General features: G+C 41.0%; 1 protein-coding gene across 7 annotated transcripts in view, besides 1 other annotated feature; it reads left to right on the top strand.

The window, feature by feature from the left end:
* Window positions 1-19,707, top strand: part of SUMF1 (sulfatase modifying factor 1) — a 432,784-nt gene that overhangs the window by 121,682 nt on the left and 291,395 nt on the right. The gene's annotated exons all lie outside the window — the stretch shown is intronic.
* Window positions 4,709-5,003: an enhancer, noted in NCBI's record as "tiled region #4455; HepG2 Activating non-DNase unmatched - State 23:Low, and K562 Activating DNase matched - State 5:Enh". NCBI's record gives its function as "activates a minimal TATA promoter and a strong SV40 promoter by Sharpr-MPRA in HepG2 and K562 cells {active_cell/tissue: HepG2 | K562}" and the evidence as "EXISTENCE:reporter gene assay evidence [ECO:0000049][PMID:27701403]".

The following is a 19,707-nucleotide window of genomic DNA, read 5'->3' as shown; positions in this document are numbered from 1 at the left end:
TTTGGTGTGTTTTTGCAGTGGCTGCTACCAGTTTTTCTTTTCCATATTTAATGCTTCTTTCAGGAGCTCTTGCAGGGCAGGCCTGTTGGTAATGAAATCCCTCAGCATTTGCTTGTCTGGAAAGGATTTTATTTCTCCTTCGCTTTTGAAGCTTAGTTTGGCTGGATATGAGATTCTGGGTTGAAAATTCTTTTCTTTAAGAATGTTGAATATTGGCCCCCACTGTCTTCTGGCTTGTAGAGTTTCTGCCAAGAGATCCGCTGTTAGTCTGATGGGCTTCCCTTTGTGGGTAACCTGACCTTTCTGTCTGGCTGCCCTTAACATTTTTTCCTTCATTTCGACCTTGGAGAATCTGACGATTATGTGTCTTGGGTTGATCTTCTCATGGAGTATCTTAATAGTGTTCTCTGTATTTCTTGAATTTGCGTGTTGGCCTGTCTTGCTAGGTTGGGGACGTTCTCCTGGATAATACCCTGAAGTGTGTTTTCCCACTTGTTTCCATTCTCCCTGTCTCCTTCTGGTACTCCAATCAATCATAGGTTTGGTCTTTTTAAGAGGTCCCATATTTCTTGGAGGCTTTGTTCATTCCTTTTCACTCTTTTTTTCTCTATTCTTGTCTGTGTGTCTTATTTCAGTAAGGTGGTCTTCGAATTCTTATATCCTTTCTTCCGCTTGCTGTATTTGGCTATTGACACTTGTGTATGCTTCACGAAGTACTTGTGCTGTGTTTTTCAGCTCCATCAAGTTGTTTATGTTCCTCTCTAAAGTGGTTATTCTAGTTATCAATTCCTCTAACCTCTTATCAAGGTTCTTAGCTTCTTTGCATTGGGTTAGAACATGTTCCTTTAGCTCATCGTAATTTTTTATTACCCATCTTTTGAAGCCTACTGTCAATTCATCCGTCTGATCCTCCATTCAGTTCTGCGCCCTTGATGGAGAGACATTGCAATCATTTGGAGGAGAAGAGGCAAGCACTCTGGCCTTTTGGATTTTCAGCATTTTTCATTGATTCTCATCTTCGTGAGTTTGTCTAGTTTTGGTCTTTGAGGCTGCTGACCCTTGGATGGGGCTTTTGTGGGGGCCTTGTTGTTGTTGATGCTGTTGTTGTCACTTTCTGCTTGTTTTTCTTTCAAAAGTCAGGTCCCTCTTCTGTAGGGATGCTGCAATTTGGTGGGGGTTCATTTCAGGCCTTATTCGTCTGATTTGCTCCTGTGCCTGGAGATGTCACTCAAGGAGGCTGGAGAGCAGCAAAGATGGTTGCCTACTCCTTCTGGGAGCTCTGCCCTCGAGGGGCACTGACCTGATGCCAATGGGGGTTCCCCTTCCCCGTGTGGCTCTCAGGGTGGCCGCCACACCACACTGCTCTTCCTTCTCTCCGTGGGTCACGACAGCCTTCTAGTCAATTTTGATGAGAGAACCTGGATACCTTGGTTGCCGGTGAAGGATTCTCATGCTTATTATAGTTTTCTTCTATGGGAGCCTCAGAATGCTGCTGCTTCTAGTCAGTCATCTTGGCCTGTCAATCACAACTTATATATGGTTTTTATAAAACAAAATTGAGTCATACTATAAAGGCTATTCATTTAATTTATTTTGTATATCTTGTGAAAGTTCTATAAAGGTCTAGGTCTTTTTAAAATAGCTGAATTAATTTATTTAAGCATTTCCCTACTGATGAATATGTGAGTTATTCCCAGTTTTCATTGTTAAAATTTTTTCCAATAAACCTATTTGTACCTATTTATATCTTTGCCAATTTGTGCAGATATTTCTGTGAGATAAATTCCTGGGAGTCTAGCTGCTGCATCAAAACATATGGTTATTTCAAATTGTGTTGGATATTGACAGCCCTCCAAAAAGGTCGTACTAGTTTACCAATTTACATCCATGCACAGTGAATTTGCAGCATTTCAATTCTTCTTTATTCTAAAACTAATTTGAGAACAGCCAAGGTAGCTCAGCATAGGAGAAATTCTTCTGTAGGGTGCAGGCATAGTTGTCAGGGGAGAGGAATGAAATCAAACTGAGGTCTTCATCTGGCCTGAGTTCTAGAGCATTCTCTGCTTTCTGTGGCTGAAATACAACCCTGGGGTATGCTAATTGGTCCAACTGTAGATGCAAATGACTCCAGTCTGCAAAAGTGACTCACTGTTAATGAAATCAGTCTTCAGGAATAAATTGTTTGCACTCCCCTCTCTGCCCACAATCTACAGTGACCTCTTAACTGTGTGTAATTGCCATGCTCTTTTTATCCCTGTGGTTTGGTGATCTGGAGCTCCTCACTGAGTTAATAATTTTGACCTTTCCTACATACGGCTTGTTTGAGAATGCTTCTGACCTCACTTACTCGTGAAAGTTAAAAAATCGTGTTCTGTAGGCCAAGGACCTTATGTATTATCCAGTCTCATCAGCCTCCTCTCTCCCATCTCCCATCTCCATGTTATAGTCCTCAGAGCTGGTCCTTGGCCTAGGCCTGGCTTGTGTTAGAAGCAGGGGAAATTGTTCAAAATGTACCTATTTGAGCTCTCCCTCTAAAAGACTGGGTTCATAGGACTAAACTGAGACTGGAGATTATATACTTTTAAAGTCCCCATTCACATCCCCTGAGCCGTGGGGCTTTTTTATCCCTTGGGAGCTTTAGTTACATTATCTGTAAAATGAGGACTTGAATAATGTTGAGCTCTCCTGTAGGAGAAAGAGGAAAGAGGTTGCCAGGAAAATTCTGCCTGGAGACTTTAGGACAGCTGCTCCTGAGGGTCACTAGTGAGTCTACCTTGATGGTTCTGTGACTGCAGATATTGGTAGGGTGCTGCTTCTGTGTTAGGCTCTATTTCTCGAGTAATAGTAAGCCAGTTGGTGAGAAAACAAGACTGAAAAAATGCTCCCTTGACATAAACCTGTTGTAGAACTCTCACTGCACATTCTTTGAGGACCTTCCACTGTGGAATTCTGTAACTGAAGTCCAGGAGTAAAGGAAGGTCAAATGTGAAACCAGCCATATAAAACTGAGGAGTGACTTTTGTTTTATAATTATTATTGTTATTATATATTTTTTGAGACAGAGTCTCACTCTGTTGCCCAGGCTGGAGTGCAGGGGCATGATATCAGCTCACTGAAACCTTTGTCTTCTGGGTTCAAGCTATTCTTATGCCTCAGCCTCCCAAGTAGCTGGGACTACAGGCATGTGCCATCACATCTAGCTAATTTTTGTATTTTTAGTAGAGATGGGGTTTCACCATGTTGCTCAGCCTGGTCTCGAACTCCTGACCTCAAGTGATCCACCTGCCTTGGCCTCCCAAAGTGCTGAGATTACAGGTGTGAGCCACTGCGCCTGGCCAACTTTTAAAAACAACAACGATGATAACAGAAAGCTTTACCATGATGTTGAAGCACCTCAAAATAGCTGGTATGTAGTAAGTGCTTAATAAATGTTGGCTAAATGACCTGAGTTTTGACATTTGTTGGAATTGAAGACCTAAAGTTAGCCTGCTAGATTACATCTGGCATGTGCTTTCTTTGTTGGAACCTGTGGGTTTTTCAATATAAACTTGGAGCTTTAGAACTTTCATGTCCCATAATCTCTGTAAGATCCTTATAATCAAATTGGATTCGTGCTAAAGTATAAATTATTACTTATTGCCTTGTATGTCCTTAGAGTGGCACTATTTATAAACAAATAAGCTGCAACTGGAATTGGAGTATTTTCAAATGAATGACTTCTTAGTTAAAAAACACACACACACATAAATAGCGTTTGATATTTTGTGACAGTGTCTAGGTGAGCAAGGCAAGAAGTCTAATAGCTACAAAAGCCACAAGCCACTTATAGGTGTCTTGGTAAAGAAATAGGGGTTTTTAAATGTAAATAAGAAATACAAATTTTTTTAAATGGGGAGTGAATCCATTTGATCTTTGTTCAATAGCAAATGACTTATAAATGCTTGTCACACCTTAAACTATTTCAAATGACAAGTGTCAAAAAATCTCTCTTGCATGTAGCCTTGTAAGTCTCTTAAAATTCTGGAATTTTTTTAAAAAAAGATGTCTATTGGATATAACACTATTGTATTCTGGAAACAAAAAACCCTTTGTCCATTTGGCAGATTAAAAAAAAATAAAGAAAAGCTATGTATTCATTCACAGCAGAACTAAAGAAAGAGTCCTAAATCTTACAAGTTAAAGCCTGAAAATTCCTTTTAAAAAAACCAAAATGCCCTTAGTTTACCAGGGTCATTATTTTCTAAGAGCCACTCCGGCATGGTAGGAGGTATGTGAATTGTATCATGATGTCTACACTGTTTGATCATATTCTTCTTTATGCCAACTCTCCTATTTTTCTTTTTCTTTTTTTTTAATGTTGTCATCATAATGGCCAGAACTTGTGACTGAGGAGAACAAATCTGGCAAGATGCTGATGTACTTTCTGGCAATAATGCCAGCTCATGTGATGTTTTTTGTTACTTTTTGGGGGATACAGACAGTTCAGGAGAAAATGTTCTCTTAGGAGACTTTAAATTAGTTTTTGACAATCAAATCTTCAAAGATGCACTCCCTGATGGCAAAAGCTACAGCACGTATATCTCCTAACACAAAGGATATTGTGTGGAAAAGTCAATGTTTGTGTAGAAGAAGAAAAAAGAAAAAAAATTGAAGCAATTAGCAAGTTAATCTTTTTAAAACATTTGCAACTTGATACTTTCAGGAATAAAAAAACAAAAAAGTTGTAAAAGCCCTGTAGATGAGGCCCTCATATTCTACAAGCTGTTTCTCTTCCAGTGTTCAGGAAATGGCGCTTCAACACACATTCAGCTGCATGAGCAGAAACTGCAGAGTCATTCTTGCTCTCACACGATCTCTCTTCCCCGACAACTGATCCATCTCCAGGTCCTGTCACTGTTGCCTCTTAAATATCCCTTGAATCTCTCTGTTTTTCTCCATCTTCATTAGTGCAAGCTCCTCCTATTTATTAACTCTCCCCTGGACTACTAGAATCAAACTCCTAACTCCACCTGAGTCCTCTCTGGCAACATCCCTTTGCACCCCCATCGCAAGTCACTTCTCTTCACTGTAGTGAAAGTGATCTTTTTGAAATATACATGTGACCCTATCCCATGCAGCTCAGATTCCAGCAGTGGCTTTCCATTTACTTTCATGAAGACCATAAACTATTACACAGTCTGTAGAGCTCTGCATTCACAAAAGGATGCAGCTCAGGAAAAGACGACACAAATAACATGGCACCAAGCAGCAAGTGGTAAGCACAATGTGAATGGTCAGAAGTTATGTGGGTTGAGGCTTTGTGTGGGTACAGTGTGTGGTAAGTGGTTCTCAAAGTGTGGTCCCGGATTCAGCAGCATCAGCATCATCTGGAAACTTGTTTCAAATGCAGATACTCAGGCTCTACTCCAGATCTACTACATTAACAACTCCGGAGTTGGGGCCAAGCAGTGCGTGTGTGTGTTTGTGTGTGTGTGTGTGTGTGCACATTGGTGCCTGTGTGTGTGTGTTTTGAGACAAGGTCTCACTCTGTTGCCCAGGCTGGAGTGCAGTGGTGCGATCTTGGCTCACTACAACCTCGACCTTCTGGCTTCAAGTGATCCTCCTGGTCTCAGCCTCCCGAGTGGCTGGGACCACAGGTATGTGTAACCACACCCGGTTAATTTTTGCATTTTTTGTAGAGGTGGGGTTTTGCCATGTTGCCTAGGCTGTTCTTGAACTCCTGGGCTGAAGCAATCTGCCTGCCTCGGCCTCCCAAAGTGTTAGGATTACAGGCGTGAGCCACCATGCCTGGCCCAGTCAGTGTTTCAAAAAGCCTCTGGGTGATTTGGATGGGTGCAAAAATGTGGGAATATTTGTACAGCAGTTGTTGTGTGCATTGCCCAGATGTCCTAGAAGGACTGAAAGATGTATTCATCTAATTGCTGAGAGTGCTATCAGCCTTCCTACCCAAGACCTCTTTCCAGGGGGCAGTCTACATCCACTGACTGGTTGATGCAGAAATCTAAAGACCCTGTCCGCAGCTACAACAGACTGGTTGATGCAGAAATCTAAAGACCCTGTCCGCAGCTACAACATGGAGCCACCCTAAAAAGCTGCCTTGGCTTCAGAGCTACCTGCGGGTTGGCTGAGGTCTTCGTTGAGATTTCATTGCAGCCCAACTCCTCCTTTGCCCAGCCTGCTTCCTTTCCTTCCATTCCACAGGTGGGAATCCTAGCAGCAGCTCTTGATCTTCCTGTGCTCCAATTTTCCTCCCAGAGACTGCTTCCTTGGGTACCCCCTGAGCTGTGGGGCATACCTCACAAGGAAAATGGGACAAGTTGAGACTTTAAAGAGGATGGGGAAGAAGTCAATCAGTGATGAAGGGAGGGGCGGAAGGATTGGACATGGGAGGTGTCCCAAGAGAGGAAAGCAGCATGAGTGAAACATAGCCTAAGGCCCATTAGGAACAGGAGAGCCACAGAAATGGGCTACGTCACAGAATGAGGAGGGAGTAGTGGGATATTGCTGAGGAAGTAGTTTGTGGAAGGTATTAAGGTCCCCAAATAAAGAGTTTGAACTTGGTTGGAAAGTTAACGTCAGGCTCATCACACTAACATTAGTTGGCTCAGTCAGCAATACCCATTCAGCACTGGCGAGGCTCTGGTGAGCAAAGACAGACCTGGTCCCAGTCCGCCAGGATCTTACAGTCTCATAGAGTAGCTAGACATAACTCAATCACACGAATGCCAAATTTGCACACACACACTAAATTATAGGGGCTCAAAGACCCAATGAAAGACTCTGTGTACTAGGTATACATATGTACTAGGTATACCTGTGAGAGACTCTGTACTAGGTATACATATGAGACTCTACGTACTAGATATACATAGGTACTAGGTAGACCTAGTACATAGACTCTGTCATTCAAATTTTGTTTTGGTTTTTCCCTTATGAGACCATGAATTCTTTGAGAATGAAAATTGCTTTGCGTCCTGATTTCTCCAGAATGTAACAGTAGATGCTCGAAAACATTGGTTGAATGAATTATGAGCTCAGGGACTCAACTTCCCACCACTTAGCATGTACTAGATTCTTGACAAACGTTTGTGAATGAATGAATGAATTGTTTTGGTGTCAAGGTGGTTCAACCAGAACTACTTCCAAAGTGCTGATAAGGTGTCATGTTGTTCATAAAGCCACACTGACTTTATTTTAAGAACTGCTGAGAGATTTTAAGAGACCTTCCCTGTGTCAAGATGCCTTTTCTTTTTGAATGGATGACGATAGTAAATATTACTTTAAAGTATCTTTTTTTTTTTTCTTTTTAATAAAGAGACAGGGTCTCACTTTGTCTGCCAGGCTGGAGTGCATGGTGTGATTGTAGCTCCCTGCAGATTGTAGCTCCCAGAGACTGGGCTCAAGCCATCCTCCGCCTGCTTCACCTTCCTGAGTAGTGAGGATTATAGGGATGCACCACTGTGCCAAGCTCTAAAATATTCTTACTACTCAAAATAGTCAATAATTTAGTTGTCAAAATTAATTTTTGAACTAGTCAAAAATTTGGAAGCAATTTCTGCAAAGCAAGTTGGGATAGAGGGGAGGCCTGGTGTCTGTTGAAGATAAAGGATTAATCTTTGAGCTGCCCTTGATTTTTTATCCTTGAAAAAGTTGAGGATGTCTATGATTGGGGGTTTACTGGGAGGGAGGTGAGGTGATTACTGAGAGGAAAGGGAAACAAGGTTATTTTCAAGAGTTGGGTAGGAGATACAGATTGGCAAGAAAACACTTCCAAAATAAGCAACAAAAACAAACCCACTTTGTAAAACTGTTTGAGGGCAGATGAAAATTTTAATTGAAGAGATGCAATTATGTTCAATGCAGGATAGGAGAAATGGGTTTTAGATTTGTTTGAAAGCACTTTTCTGTATCCACCTACTATGCACAAATGCTTTGATGTAGTGGCAAGTTAGGAAAGAGGAGGGAAGTGGTCAAGGGATGGAGGGAGGGTAGAGTGTGGGCTGCTCAGGTAGGTACCATGGTGAGCAGAGGTTGTGGGCATGTGGGGTTGGAATTAGTGGGATTAGCAGTTTGTAACTGGCTGCCCTTATAAATCCGGGAGCATTAAATATGTCTGGACGAGAGGACTAACAAAAGTTGGCAAAGTGATACATGGTAGAGATGGTCATCCAGTAATGAAGTAATTTGTGTTTTCCCAGGGGTGTAGCAGTGAGGATGAGGCTGGGCAGCTGGCTGCAGGAAGATGAATGACAAGGGGACAGTAGGGTGATGGAGGTGATGGATAGCTGGTTGACAGCAAACAGGAAGAAACAAAAGGAGGGGGAGTGAGGGAGAGAGGGAAGGAGGGAAGGAAGTAAGGAAGGAAGGAAGGAAGAAAGGAGGGAGGGAGGGAGGGAGGGAGGGACAGAAAAGAGACAGAGAAATAGAACATATTGCTGGCTCTCTTGTTGTTTTAGCTGCCTAGTGGCTATGTAAACAAGAATCATAAGAGATGGAATATGGGAAATGCCAGCAATATCTAAAAGAGAAACCAGGACAAAGAAAATCCAGAGTGTTTTGCAAAGAAGGCAAGGGTAAGAGCATGTAGAGTTGGAATTCGTGGGATCAGCAGTTTGCAATTGGCTGCCCTTACAAATTAGGGAACATTGAATATATCTGGACCAGAGGACTAAGAAAAGTTAGCAAAGTGGTACATGGTAGAGATAGTTATTCAGTACATCAAGTAATTTGTATTTTCCCAGATTGATGAAAGTGTCTTCATAACCACAAGAATGAAAAACATGTATGAAACTATGGTTTTTATGTGACTAAAAGTTGACAGAATATCAAATGTATCTAAATTGAATTATCTTTGATCATGCCTGGGCATTCAGCTGAGCTGGTGATATTTGGATGAGTAATAAAATAATGACCTGATTAATAAATTATCATATATTTTTCCATATAATTTGTTCTTCTTGGCTTCCTTTCAGCAAAATCATAAATTGTGTTGTTATTGTAAAAGAAAAGTAGACTATCGGGACCTCAAACTCACTATGCCAAAGGGAAAGTTAAACTTGGGAATCAAGCCACCAATACTTTTTTCCTTTTGTACCCAAATAGATAACTGTAATTTCACAACCCGTGTCATAGCCTCATTTGCTCTACTCCCTCTTTTCACATGCTTACTTTATCTTATGTAAAATGTAGATTTACTGAGCACGAGACAATACACAATGGACTCTTCCACACTCCCTCTTTTCACATGTAAAATGTAGATTCAGTGAAGCTAATCAGACCCTCACAAGACTGTAACCATCTGCCTCACTGCCTACCCTTCCTCCCATCTCCTTTTTTCCCCTTTTTGCTTGCTCTTTCCCCTTTAAATACTAAAGTTCACAAAATCTCCCTTGGAAAAATCATAGGTCAAAGATGCTCCTGGGATTTGTGTTTCTTCCTGGGCACATCCTCAACCTTGGCCAAATCAACCTTGAATCGTTTGAGACCTCCCTCAGTCACTTTTTGGCTTCCGTTTTGGTAGCTACAGAGGGATTCTCCGGGTAGATTTGGCCCTTGGCCAGCAACAACTCTCCTATCAATGCCTGGTACTGGCTGGGGGTTTTTTCTGTTTTTTTTTTTTTTTTTTTTGAGTTGGAATCTCACTCAGTTGTCCAGGCTGGAGTGCAATGGCATGATCTTCAGTTCATTGCAACCTCTGCCTCCTGGATTCAAGCAATTCTCCTGCCTCAGCCTCCTGAGTAGCTGGGATTACATGTGCCCGCCACCACACTGGGCTAATTTTTGTATTTTTAGTAGAGATGGGGTTTCACCATATTGACTAGGCTGGTCTCTTGGCCAGGCTGGTCTTGTACTCCTGACCTCGTGATCTGTCCGCCTTGGCCTCCCAAAGTGCTGGGATTACAGGTGTGAGCCACTGTGCCTGGCCAGCTGGGGCTATTTTTATTTCTATGACTATTGGGATGATTTGCTGAGGTCTGGGAGCTTCTCCCTTCAGAGGTCCCTGACCTCGCCCAAATTTTCAGTTGAGATGAGGTTAATTCTGCTGCAGAACTCCTTTATGGGAGTTTAGTTTACTTTCAGCAAGGAAGATGAGTTTCCCACTTCCGTGATGGTGGAGAGTAGCCTTTAGCTTAGACCCCATCTCCAGGTAAGAGGCTGATTTGGGGATTCATTTTGGTATTTGGTAGCTGTAGGTCAAAGTTAATTGTCAGCTGGCTATCACTTCTCCTTATAATCAGAGATCTAGGCTATATGTAAATTTTAAGAGATGAGGTGAAGAGGTAGGTAGGGTGGTCTGGTCTTGTTAAGTTTGGGCATCATCTTTCATCCTGAGAGTGATGAGAAGTCATTGAAGAGTTTAAAGGTGGAAAATGCATTGTGAGGAATGGGTGGGAGGATGGCTAGGCTGCAGGCAGAGATCACTTTTTTCTGTTTTTGTTTGTTTGTTTCAGTCCATCTTTTGTTAGATTTGACCAACTTCTGGTCCCCTCTTATGTCAACTGAAATCCCTGCAGCTGCCGAAAGACAAATTTTACCTCTAAAATCCCTGGCTGGTTAAGAAAAATCAAAATTTGACTACCTGAGAGGTTTTATTTACGTAAGACTGCCTTCCCAGCCTCTCTCTCTGTGCTGTTAAAGATTTTAGTGATCTCTTATATTAAGCAATTAATGAAAAAGATAAACTGTTTTACAGGACAAAGGCTAGCCTAAAAAAGTTCTCTTGACTAAAATAGGTGCAAAAAAGTCTGACCTAAAATAGTTCTGGTAGTTAAAATTCCCATCAGGGCTTGAGTTCGTTTCCTAATCTGGGAACAACAAAGGCTACTCCACCTTGTGGCCTAATAGTTAAAATTCTGCAGTTTTACCTCCACTGCATGGGTTTGATTCCTGGTCAGGGAACCCACCCCTCTTGGTTTGATACTTGTGTGAATGTCTTTTAGGGTACCAACTTATTATTGATCCATTCCCTTTCCTTGGGAAGCTTTTGATTTCCTGTTTTCTTCTGTCTGTTTGGGGTCACACAAGGCTTTTGAGCCTTTGTGTGTGGACAGTCAGTTGAGAAGCTAAGATCCTAGAGAACATGTCCTGAAAGAAATGTGGTCTATACCCTCTTTATGGATAGTGAAATTTTCCTTCTCTGAGCTGTCTTTGGGGTGATTCTAGATCTTGTAAAAAACTGCTTGCCACCTCTTTGGAGACATCTCATGTGTCTGTGGTTGTTATAACCTTGGTTGAAACACTGGGGAAGATACCTTTGCAAAAGAAGTTCAAAAGCAAAAAAATCAACCGTTTGTCCCAGCTAAAATCTGGTAACAAAAGATCTGAAAGGATTTTTTTAGAGAGCTCTATGGTTAGAAGTCAATTTAATTAGAAGCTGATATCTAGCCTTTATGCTTTCAACACCTTTTGTTTCCTGTTTTTTGGAATTTTTTTTTTTAGTTGACTTAAACTTTTTTTTTTAAAGATGGGTCTTGCTTTGTTGCCCAGGTTAGAGTGCAGTGGCACAACCAGGGCTCACTGTAGCCATGCTCTTCTGGGCTCAAGTGATCTGCCCACCTCAGCTCCTCAGTAGCTGATACTACAGGTGTGCACCACCACATCTGGCTACTTTTTAAATATTTTTGTAGAGATGGGGTCTCACTGTATTGTTCAGGTTGGTTCTAAACTTCTGGTCTCAAGCAGTCCCCCCACCCCAGCCTCTAAAAGTGCTGGGATTACAAGTGTGAGCCACTATGCCTGGCTGGCTAAAACTTAAAAAAAAAAAAAATTATGTGCTTAGTATCTTTGTTGGCTTTCTTTAAAAAAAAATTGTTCTCCTGTTTATATTTACTCCACACTATTCCTCCTTCTTCTTTGCGATCTTCATTGCTCTGAGTCCTCATCCCATAGGATATGGGCCGATCACAAAATGGGCTGATTGGGGTTGAGTTGTCCATCAGACTTGAAGGAATGTCCTTGCAGTGAGGTGCACTGTGGAAGCATTGTACTGTCTTGTCCCATGGCTTTTGCTTCTTTTTGGGGACCCAGTATTTGGTATAAAAAATGGGATCCTTGAAATTTTGGGGGACCTGTGTTTTGCTTTCCAGCTATACCTGCTTCTCACATATTTAAATATTAGGCCCTAAAAATTGCATGCTTTCCTTTCTGTATTCACTAAATGGTTCCACCCGATGAGGCGGGAGAGTGAGTTCCCTGACACCCCCCTGAGGATGTGTAACATGGATGTGGCATGCCTGTTTGGTCACCACCGCTGCTCGAAGCCCCCTTATGGGAGGGGGAACATGCAGACAGACAGGTGCAGGAGCTGAAATGGGCATATGTTACAGTGTGCTCTTTTAGCCTTGCCATCTGTGGATGGCTTAAATGTTAACCAGCTCAGTGGACCCTCTGCCTTTCTGCAAGGGCAGAGGGCAAGTGTGACAGCTTCCTGTATCCCGAGCTCTTGTCCAGTGTCCTGGAAGAATCAGGTCACACACAAACTTGAAGGATGGTGAATGTGGGGTTTTATTAGGGTTGGAGGTGGCTCTCAGCAGGATGGATGGGGAGCTGGATAGGGGATGGAGTGTGAAGATAATCTTCCCCTGGAGTTTGGCCATCCAGTGGCCGATTCTCCCCAGCCAAACTCCTCCCAATGTTTCTTTTCTTCTCTGCTGCACTGTTCTACCATTTGTCTGCTTGTTGCCTCCTGGAGCCAGGGGTTTAGGGTTTATATGGGTACAGGATAGGCGGCATGGTGGGCCAAAAGGCAACTTTTCGAGTACTAAAACAGGAATGCCTGTTCTCACTTAGGGCCGCAGGTATCCAGGCTTGAGGGTGGGACCTTTACCAGGGAACTGCTCTCTTCTACCCAGTATTTCCCTGTCTTCTGTCTGTATCACCATGAAGCCAGTAATCTAATTAAGAAAACAAGCTAAGCCAAAATTCCAAAATACAACTTTCAGGCATTTAGCTGGCTATCTTTAAACTCCTTTGTAAAAGAAACATCTTTAAGAAAATTCCCATTTTGTAAGGGTGTCTGCCGGTATACACTAGAAACATTTACCATTGTTTTAATGTGACAAGTCATACTTTGCTTAAGGTGGTTTTCCTGGTCTCTTAATTGAACTTTTACTTACACCCTTTAAAACCCCTTTGGTTTGAGCAAATGATGTTACAATATTTAGGCCTAATGCCTTAGCTCTGTGCTTTGAGATATAAATTTTCTACCTTGTTTCACATAAGAGCTGTCCCTTTAGAAATGTAAATTTAGGGTTGCCTAGCTGACAATTGTTTAGGGCAGGAAACAGGTAATCAAGAGACTGATAGTCTAAAGTGGAGGTGAGATTTTGAGAACTGGCAAATGAAGAATCTTATAAATATATAAGATCTGCTACTGTCTATGGGTCTGTGTGTTTATACGTGTTGTGTGTATGTGATGTTTCACTACCAAAATATGTAAAAGGGCTCTAATTAATTGGCTTAAAGAAAAAAGGAAGTGCTTAAATCAAATGTGTTATCACAAAAATAGAAACTTTAATTCAAATGCCTTGTAGTTCACATGACTTTATTAATCTTTAGTAAATTAAGACAATTTAAAAATTATTGGTAAAATAAAAAAAGTCTTCAGAATTTAATTTAGACATTTTGTCTGAGTCTATTGATTAGATACTATCTCTACCAGATGTTTTAAGGCATAAAACTTGCTTCTATGATTTGTTTTGATACCTAACTTGTCTATAAACTTATGTCTTTAGATTTATTTATTTATTTAATTTTTTGGAGATGGAGTCTTGCTCTGTTACCTAGGCTAGAGTGCAGTGGCGCGATCTTGGCTCACTGCAACCTCCGCCTCTTGAGTTCACGCAATTCTCCTGCCTCAGACTCCTGAGTGGCTGGGATTACAGGTGTGTGCCACCACGCCAAGCTAATATTTTGTATTTTTAGTAGAGACAGGGTTTCACCATGTTGGCATAGTCTGGACTTGAACTCCTGACCTCAGGTGATCCACCCACTTCAGCCTCCCAAACTACTGGGATTACAGGCGTGAGCCACTGTGCCCAGCCTTTTATCTTTAGATTTAAGTTTTTAGGCTATGACTAGGCCTAGCTCCAGGCATTGTCCTTTGTTCTGGACTTTGCATCTGGTACATAATTAAAACGGCTTACCTCCAAGGTTTTTCACTAAAAATAAGAGTTACTAAAAGTTAACATTGTAATAAATGTATATAATTGAAATTACTAAATACAAGAGAAAAAATTCTCCATCGAAAGTGTATAAGGGAAGTAGGACATGTTTTTGGTTTAAGAAAAGTTATCAGAAGGCATGAAAATGTGGTTTTTGTTAAAAGGAAAGTAATTTTGCCTAGTTTAAAGGTTTTTTTTTTTTAAATTAAAGGAATAAAAAAAGGACAGATAAAACTACACAAATATAAAAAGTTGGAAAAGAAGGTAAATTTTTGTCCTAAAGTAAGATGACAGGACAAAACTGAAGGTTTAAGCAAATTGTAGAAGGTTTGTAGAAGACTGACCTTGTGAAAGGAATTGTATGTGCAGTTAAGTTGTCTAAAATTTAAAATGATTATTTACTTTTTCTATACAGTAAATATTAATATCAAAAGCACATTGATATTAGAGTCTGGGCCCTTGAATTGGAATAACAGAGTTTTACAGGAGCATTGATTTGTTCTTTAATAGAAAACTGTAAAAAGGTTATAAAAAGACTTATGGAAATCTTACTTTGTGATCAAACTGATTGAGATTGAGATGGATTTGTTGACAATGTTTTACTAAAAATTGGCTTCAGCATTAGTAATACACTAATGTAATGGTAAAATTTGCTTTTCTCTTTTAAAAAGATTTTTGTGAAATACTAAGAGATAAGAAAACATTTATCTTTTGAATGAGCTGGAAAAAAAGACAGTTGAGTGACAAATTCATCTGGCCTCATGCTGTCTGATTTGGTTTGGCTGTGTCCCCACCCAAATCTCACCTTGAATTGTAATAATCCCATGTGTCAAGGGCGGGGCCAAGTGGAGAAAACTGATTCATGGTGGCAGTTTCCCCCATACTGTTCTTGTGGCAATGAATAAGTCTCGTGAGATCTGATGGTTTTATAAATGGGAGTTCCCCTGCACAAGCTCTCTTGCCTGCCACCATGTAAGACGTGCATGGTCCTCCTTTGCCTTCAGCCATGATTGTGAGGCTTCCCCAGCCATGTGGAACTGTGAATCCATTAAACCTCTTTTTTCTGTATAAATTATGCAGTCTCAGGCATGTCTTTATTAGCAGCATGAGAACTGACTAATACAGTAAATTGGTACTGGTAGAGTGGGGTGCTGCTGTAAAGATACCCAAAAAATGTGGAAGAGACTTTGGAACTGGGTAACAGGCAGAGGTTGGAACAGTTTGGAGAGGTCAGAAGAAAGGAAGTTGTGGGAAAGTTTGGAACTTCCTAGAGACTTGTTGAATGGCTTTGACCAAAATGCTGATAGTGATATGAACAATAAAGTCCAGGCTGAGGTGGTCTCAGATGGAGATGAGGAACTTGTTGGGAACTGGAGCAAAGGTAACTCTTGTTACACATTAGCAAAGAGACTAGTGGCATTTTGACCCTGCATTAGATTTGCAGAACTTTGAACTTGAGAGAGATAATTTAGGGCATCTAGTAGAAGTAATTTCTAAGAAATACAAAGTGTTCAAGAGGTGACTTGGGTATTGTTAAAAGCATTCAGTTTTATATATTCACAAAATTATGGTTTGGAATTGCAACTATGTTTAGAAGGAAAGCAGAGTATAAAAGTTTGGAAAATTAGCAGCCTGATGATGTGATAGGAAAAAAAAAAAACATTTTCTAAGGAGAAATTCAAGCTGGTTGCAAAAATTTGCATAAGTAATGAGGAGCCAAGTGTTAATTGCCAAGACAATGGGGAAAATGTCTCCAGGGCATATCAGAAGTCCTCAGGGCAGCCCCTCCCATCAGAAACCTGGAGGCATAGGAGGGAAAAATGGTTTTGTGGGCTGGGCCCAGGGCCTTGCTGCTGTGTGCAGCCTAGAGACTTGGTGCCCTGTGTCCCAACCACTCCAGCCATGGCTAAAAGGGGCCAACATAGAGCTCAGGCCATTGTTTCAGAGGGTGCAAACCGTAAGCATTGGCAGCTTTCACGTGGTTTTGAGCCTGTGGGTACACAGAAGTCAAGAATTGAGGTTTGGGAACCTCCACCTATATTTCAGAGGATGTACGGAAATGCCTGGATGTCCAGGCAGAAGTATGCTGCAGGGGCAGAGCCCTCATGGAGAACCTCTGATAAGGCAGTGTGGAAAGGAAATGTGGGGTTGGAGCCACCACACAGAGTCCCCACTGGGGCACTGCCTAGTGGAGCTGTGAGAAGAGGGCCACCGTCCTCCAGACCCCAGAATGGTAGATCCACCAACAGCTTGCACCATGCACCTGGAAAAGCCACAGACAATACCAGCCTGTTAAAGCAGCCAGGAGAAGGGCTGTACCCTGCAAAGCCACAGAGGCAGAGATGCCCAAGACCATGTGAACCCACCTCTTGCATCAGCATGACCTGGATGTGAGACATGAAGTCAAATGAGATCATTTTGGAGCTTTAAGATTTGGCTGCCCTGCTGGATTTCAGACTTGCATGGAGCCTGTAGCCCCTTCATTTTGGCCAATCTCTCCCATTTGGAATGAGTGTATTTACCCAATGCCTGTACCCCCATTGTATCTAGGAAGTAGCTATCTTGCTTTTAATTTTACAGGCTCATAGGTGAAAGGGACTTGCCTTGTCTCAGATGAGACTTTGGATTTGGACTTTTGGGTTAATGCTGGAATGATTAAAGACTTTGGGGAACTGTTGGGAAGGCATGACTGGTTTTGAAATGTGAGGACGTGAGATTTGGTAGGGGTGAGGGGCAGAATGATATGGTTTGACTATGTCCCCACCCAAATCTCACCTTGAATTATAATAATCCCAATGTGTTAAGGGCGGGACCAAGTGGAGAAAATTGAATCATGGAGGCAGTTTCCCCCATACTGTTCTCGTGGTAGTGAACAAGTCTCATGAGATCTGATGATTTTATTTGCACAAGTTCTCTTGCCTGCCACCATGTAAGATGTGCATGCTCCTCCTTTGCCTTCAGCCATGATTGTGAGGCCTCCCCAGCCATGTGGAACTGTGAGTCCATTAAACCTCTTTTTCTTTATAAATTATTTAGTCTCAGGCATGTCTTTATTAGCAGCATGAGAACTGACTAATACGCTATCTTATTTTGATTGTATTGTTTGGGAAACTGAGTCTCCTCTCCATAAAACAGTAAAAGTTTTTGCTTAATTTATTTAATAAATATTTTTATTCATTTATTTTTTAAATTTATATTTATTTATTTTGAGACAGGGTCTTGTTGGTCACCCAGGCTGGAATGTACAGTGTCACAATCATGGCTGATCACAGCCTGAACCTACAGACTCACACAATCCTCCCACCTCAGCCTCCTAAGTACCTTGGACTACAGGCACCCGCCATCACACCCAGCTAATTTTTAATTTTTTTTTGTACAGGGAGGGCCTCACTATGTAGCACAAGCTGGTCTTGAATTCCTAGACTCGAGTGATCCTCTGACTTTGGCTTCCCAAAGTGTTGAGATTACAAGTGTGAGCTGCTGAGTGCAGTGGTTTTTGCTTTTAAAATCCTTGAATTATCATTTGGCTAAACTAATGACTTATTTTACAGTGACCTGTGTACCTATTTTGTGATATCAAGTGTTTTAAATCTTTGATATTTAACACATTTTCCAAAATCAAAATTTCAAGTTCTAAATTCTTTTTTATCTCATTAACTTTTTTAGATATTAGGTCCCCTTAAGTCCAAAGGAGACATATTGAGCTTATTTGCTATGTTAAAAATTATACAAGAGATGTCAAATATGAAATGGTGTTTAACTTTCTTTGGGTTATATTTTATATGTTATTAATATGTGTTCCAAAATTGTATAAGATTCCTATAATTCTGCTGTCTTAATGTTATCAGCTATAATTATATTATGTTAAATTGTTACATACCAAAAAGATAACCAAATTTCCTTGACAATTGTGTTTTTAACCATGACTGTCCTACGACTTTTGTCATCCACAGACAATTATTGTTTTACTTTGATTCTTCCCAAAAAGCTGTTTATAGTCGGCTACAGAAAACAACAACAACAACAACTTGCTTTTTTTGGGAAATTTATGGAAAAGACTCTTCTGGGTGCTATTAAAGGCAGATTTCAGATAATTTTAGACATTGTGCCATTAGGCTAGAGAGAAAATTTCCAGGATTCTCACTGGAGAGCTAATGTGTTCATGAGGCTTGCTAACCCCAATCAAATGGAATGAGTTAATTGCATGGGACTGAACTAATAGAGGACTGAAATAATGTTTCTATGACTTTTTTGTTTGAAACATTGCTGATATTTTTGTGTTTTTTTGGTCAAGAAAAAAATCGATCTATTTTTAGCTTTTAACAGTTTTGTAAAGTATACCCTTGTGAGCCAAATTTGAAGCATATTTCCTTTTCTCTACCTGATTTCTCCAGAATTTAGAAACTATTTGTAAGTATTCTTAACTTATAACAATATAGTTATTTGCATAAGTTCAGCAAGAATCTGTTTTCTTTTGGAATAGGCTATAATTGGAGACACTGGTTATTTTACCAAAGCTTTGACTGGCATGGCATATTTTCAGATATGACCAGAATGCTTTGAGAAATTGAGATGATGTTAGAGAGCCAATAAAAGCCCCTTGGAGGCTGGGCATGGTGGCTTATGTCTGTAATCCCAGCAGTTTGGGAGGATGAGGCAGGCAGATCACCTGAGCTCAGGAGTTTGAGACCAGCCTGGGCAACATGGCAAAACCACATCTCTACTAAAAATACAAAAAAAATTATCTGGTTATGGTGGCATGCATCTGTAGTCCGAGCTACTCAGGAAGCTGAGGCATGAGTATTGCTTGAATCCAGGAGGTAGCAGTTGCAGTGAGCTGAGATCATGTCACTTCATTCCAGCCTGGGCAACAGAGTGAGGATCTATCTCAAAAAAAAAAAAACCCTTGGAAAAACTGGCCTTGTACATTGTTTATGAAATTCCTTTATAGGGTTATTGACCTGTGGTAAGTAGAGAATGTCATTTTCTGACAGGCCCAGGAATCTCATTTATTTTGGGACCTCAAGAAGAGAGGAATTGAGACAGGTATCTGCAGGCACAGACAAATTCTTGGCTGTGCTTGAGAAAGCTTTAAAAGTCTAATCTGAGATTCCTTATGAAAAAGTTCCAGCAAAGCCAATTTAAAAAAAGCCTATTGGCCAATAATTATTCTTGCTGTACTTTATGCAACTAATCAGGCCAAGTATAATGAGACTAAAACTTTTTGCAAATAAATTGGTCTTTCTGTGACTTGTCTTTGGTAAAAATAAAGGATTGAGAGAAAAAAGTTATGTTTCAAAAGATAGCTGGGCACTGTGGCTCACGCCTGTAATCCCAGCACTTTGGGAGGCCAAAGTGGGAGGATCACCTGAGGTCAGGAGTTCAAGACCAGCCTAGCCAACATGGTGAAACCCTGTTTCAACTAAAAATACAGAAATCAGCCAGGCATGGTGGTGCATGCCTGTAGTCTCCGCTACTTTGGAGGCTGAGGCAGGAAAATTGCTTGAACCCAGGAGGAGGAGGTTGTAGTGAGCTGAGTTCACTA

This window comes from Homo sapiens, chromosome 3 (genome assembly GCF_000001405.40).
Source record: "Homo sapiens chromosome 3, GRCh38.p14 Primary Assembly".
Classification (NCBI taxonomy): Eukaryota; Metazoa; Chordata; class Mammalia; order Primates; family Hominidae; genus Homo; species Homo sapiens.
Note: the sequence above shows the minus strand (reverse complement) of the source record. Positions and strands in the feature narration are given on the sequence as shown.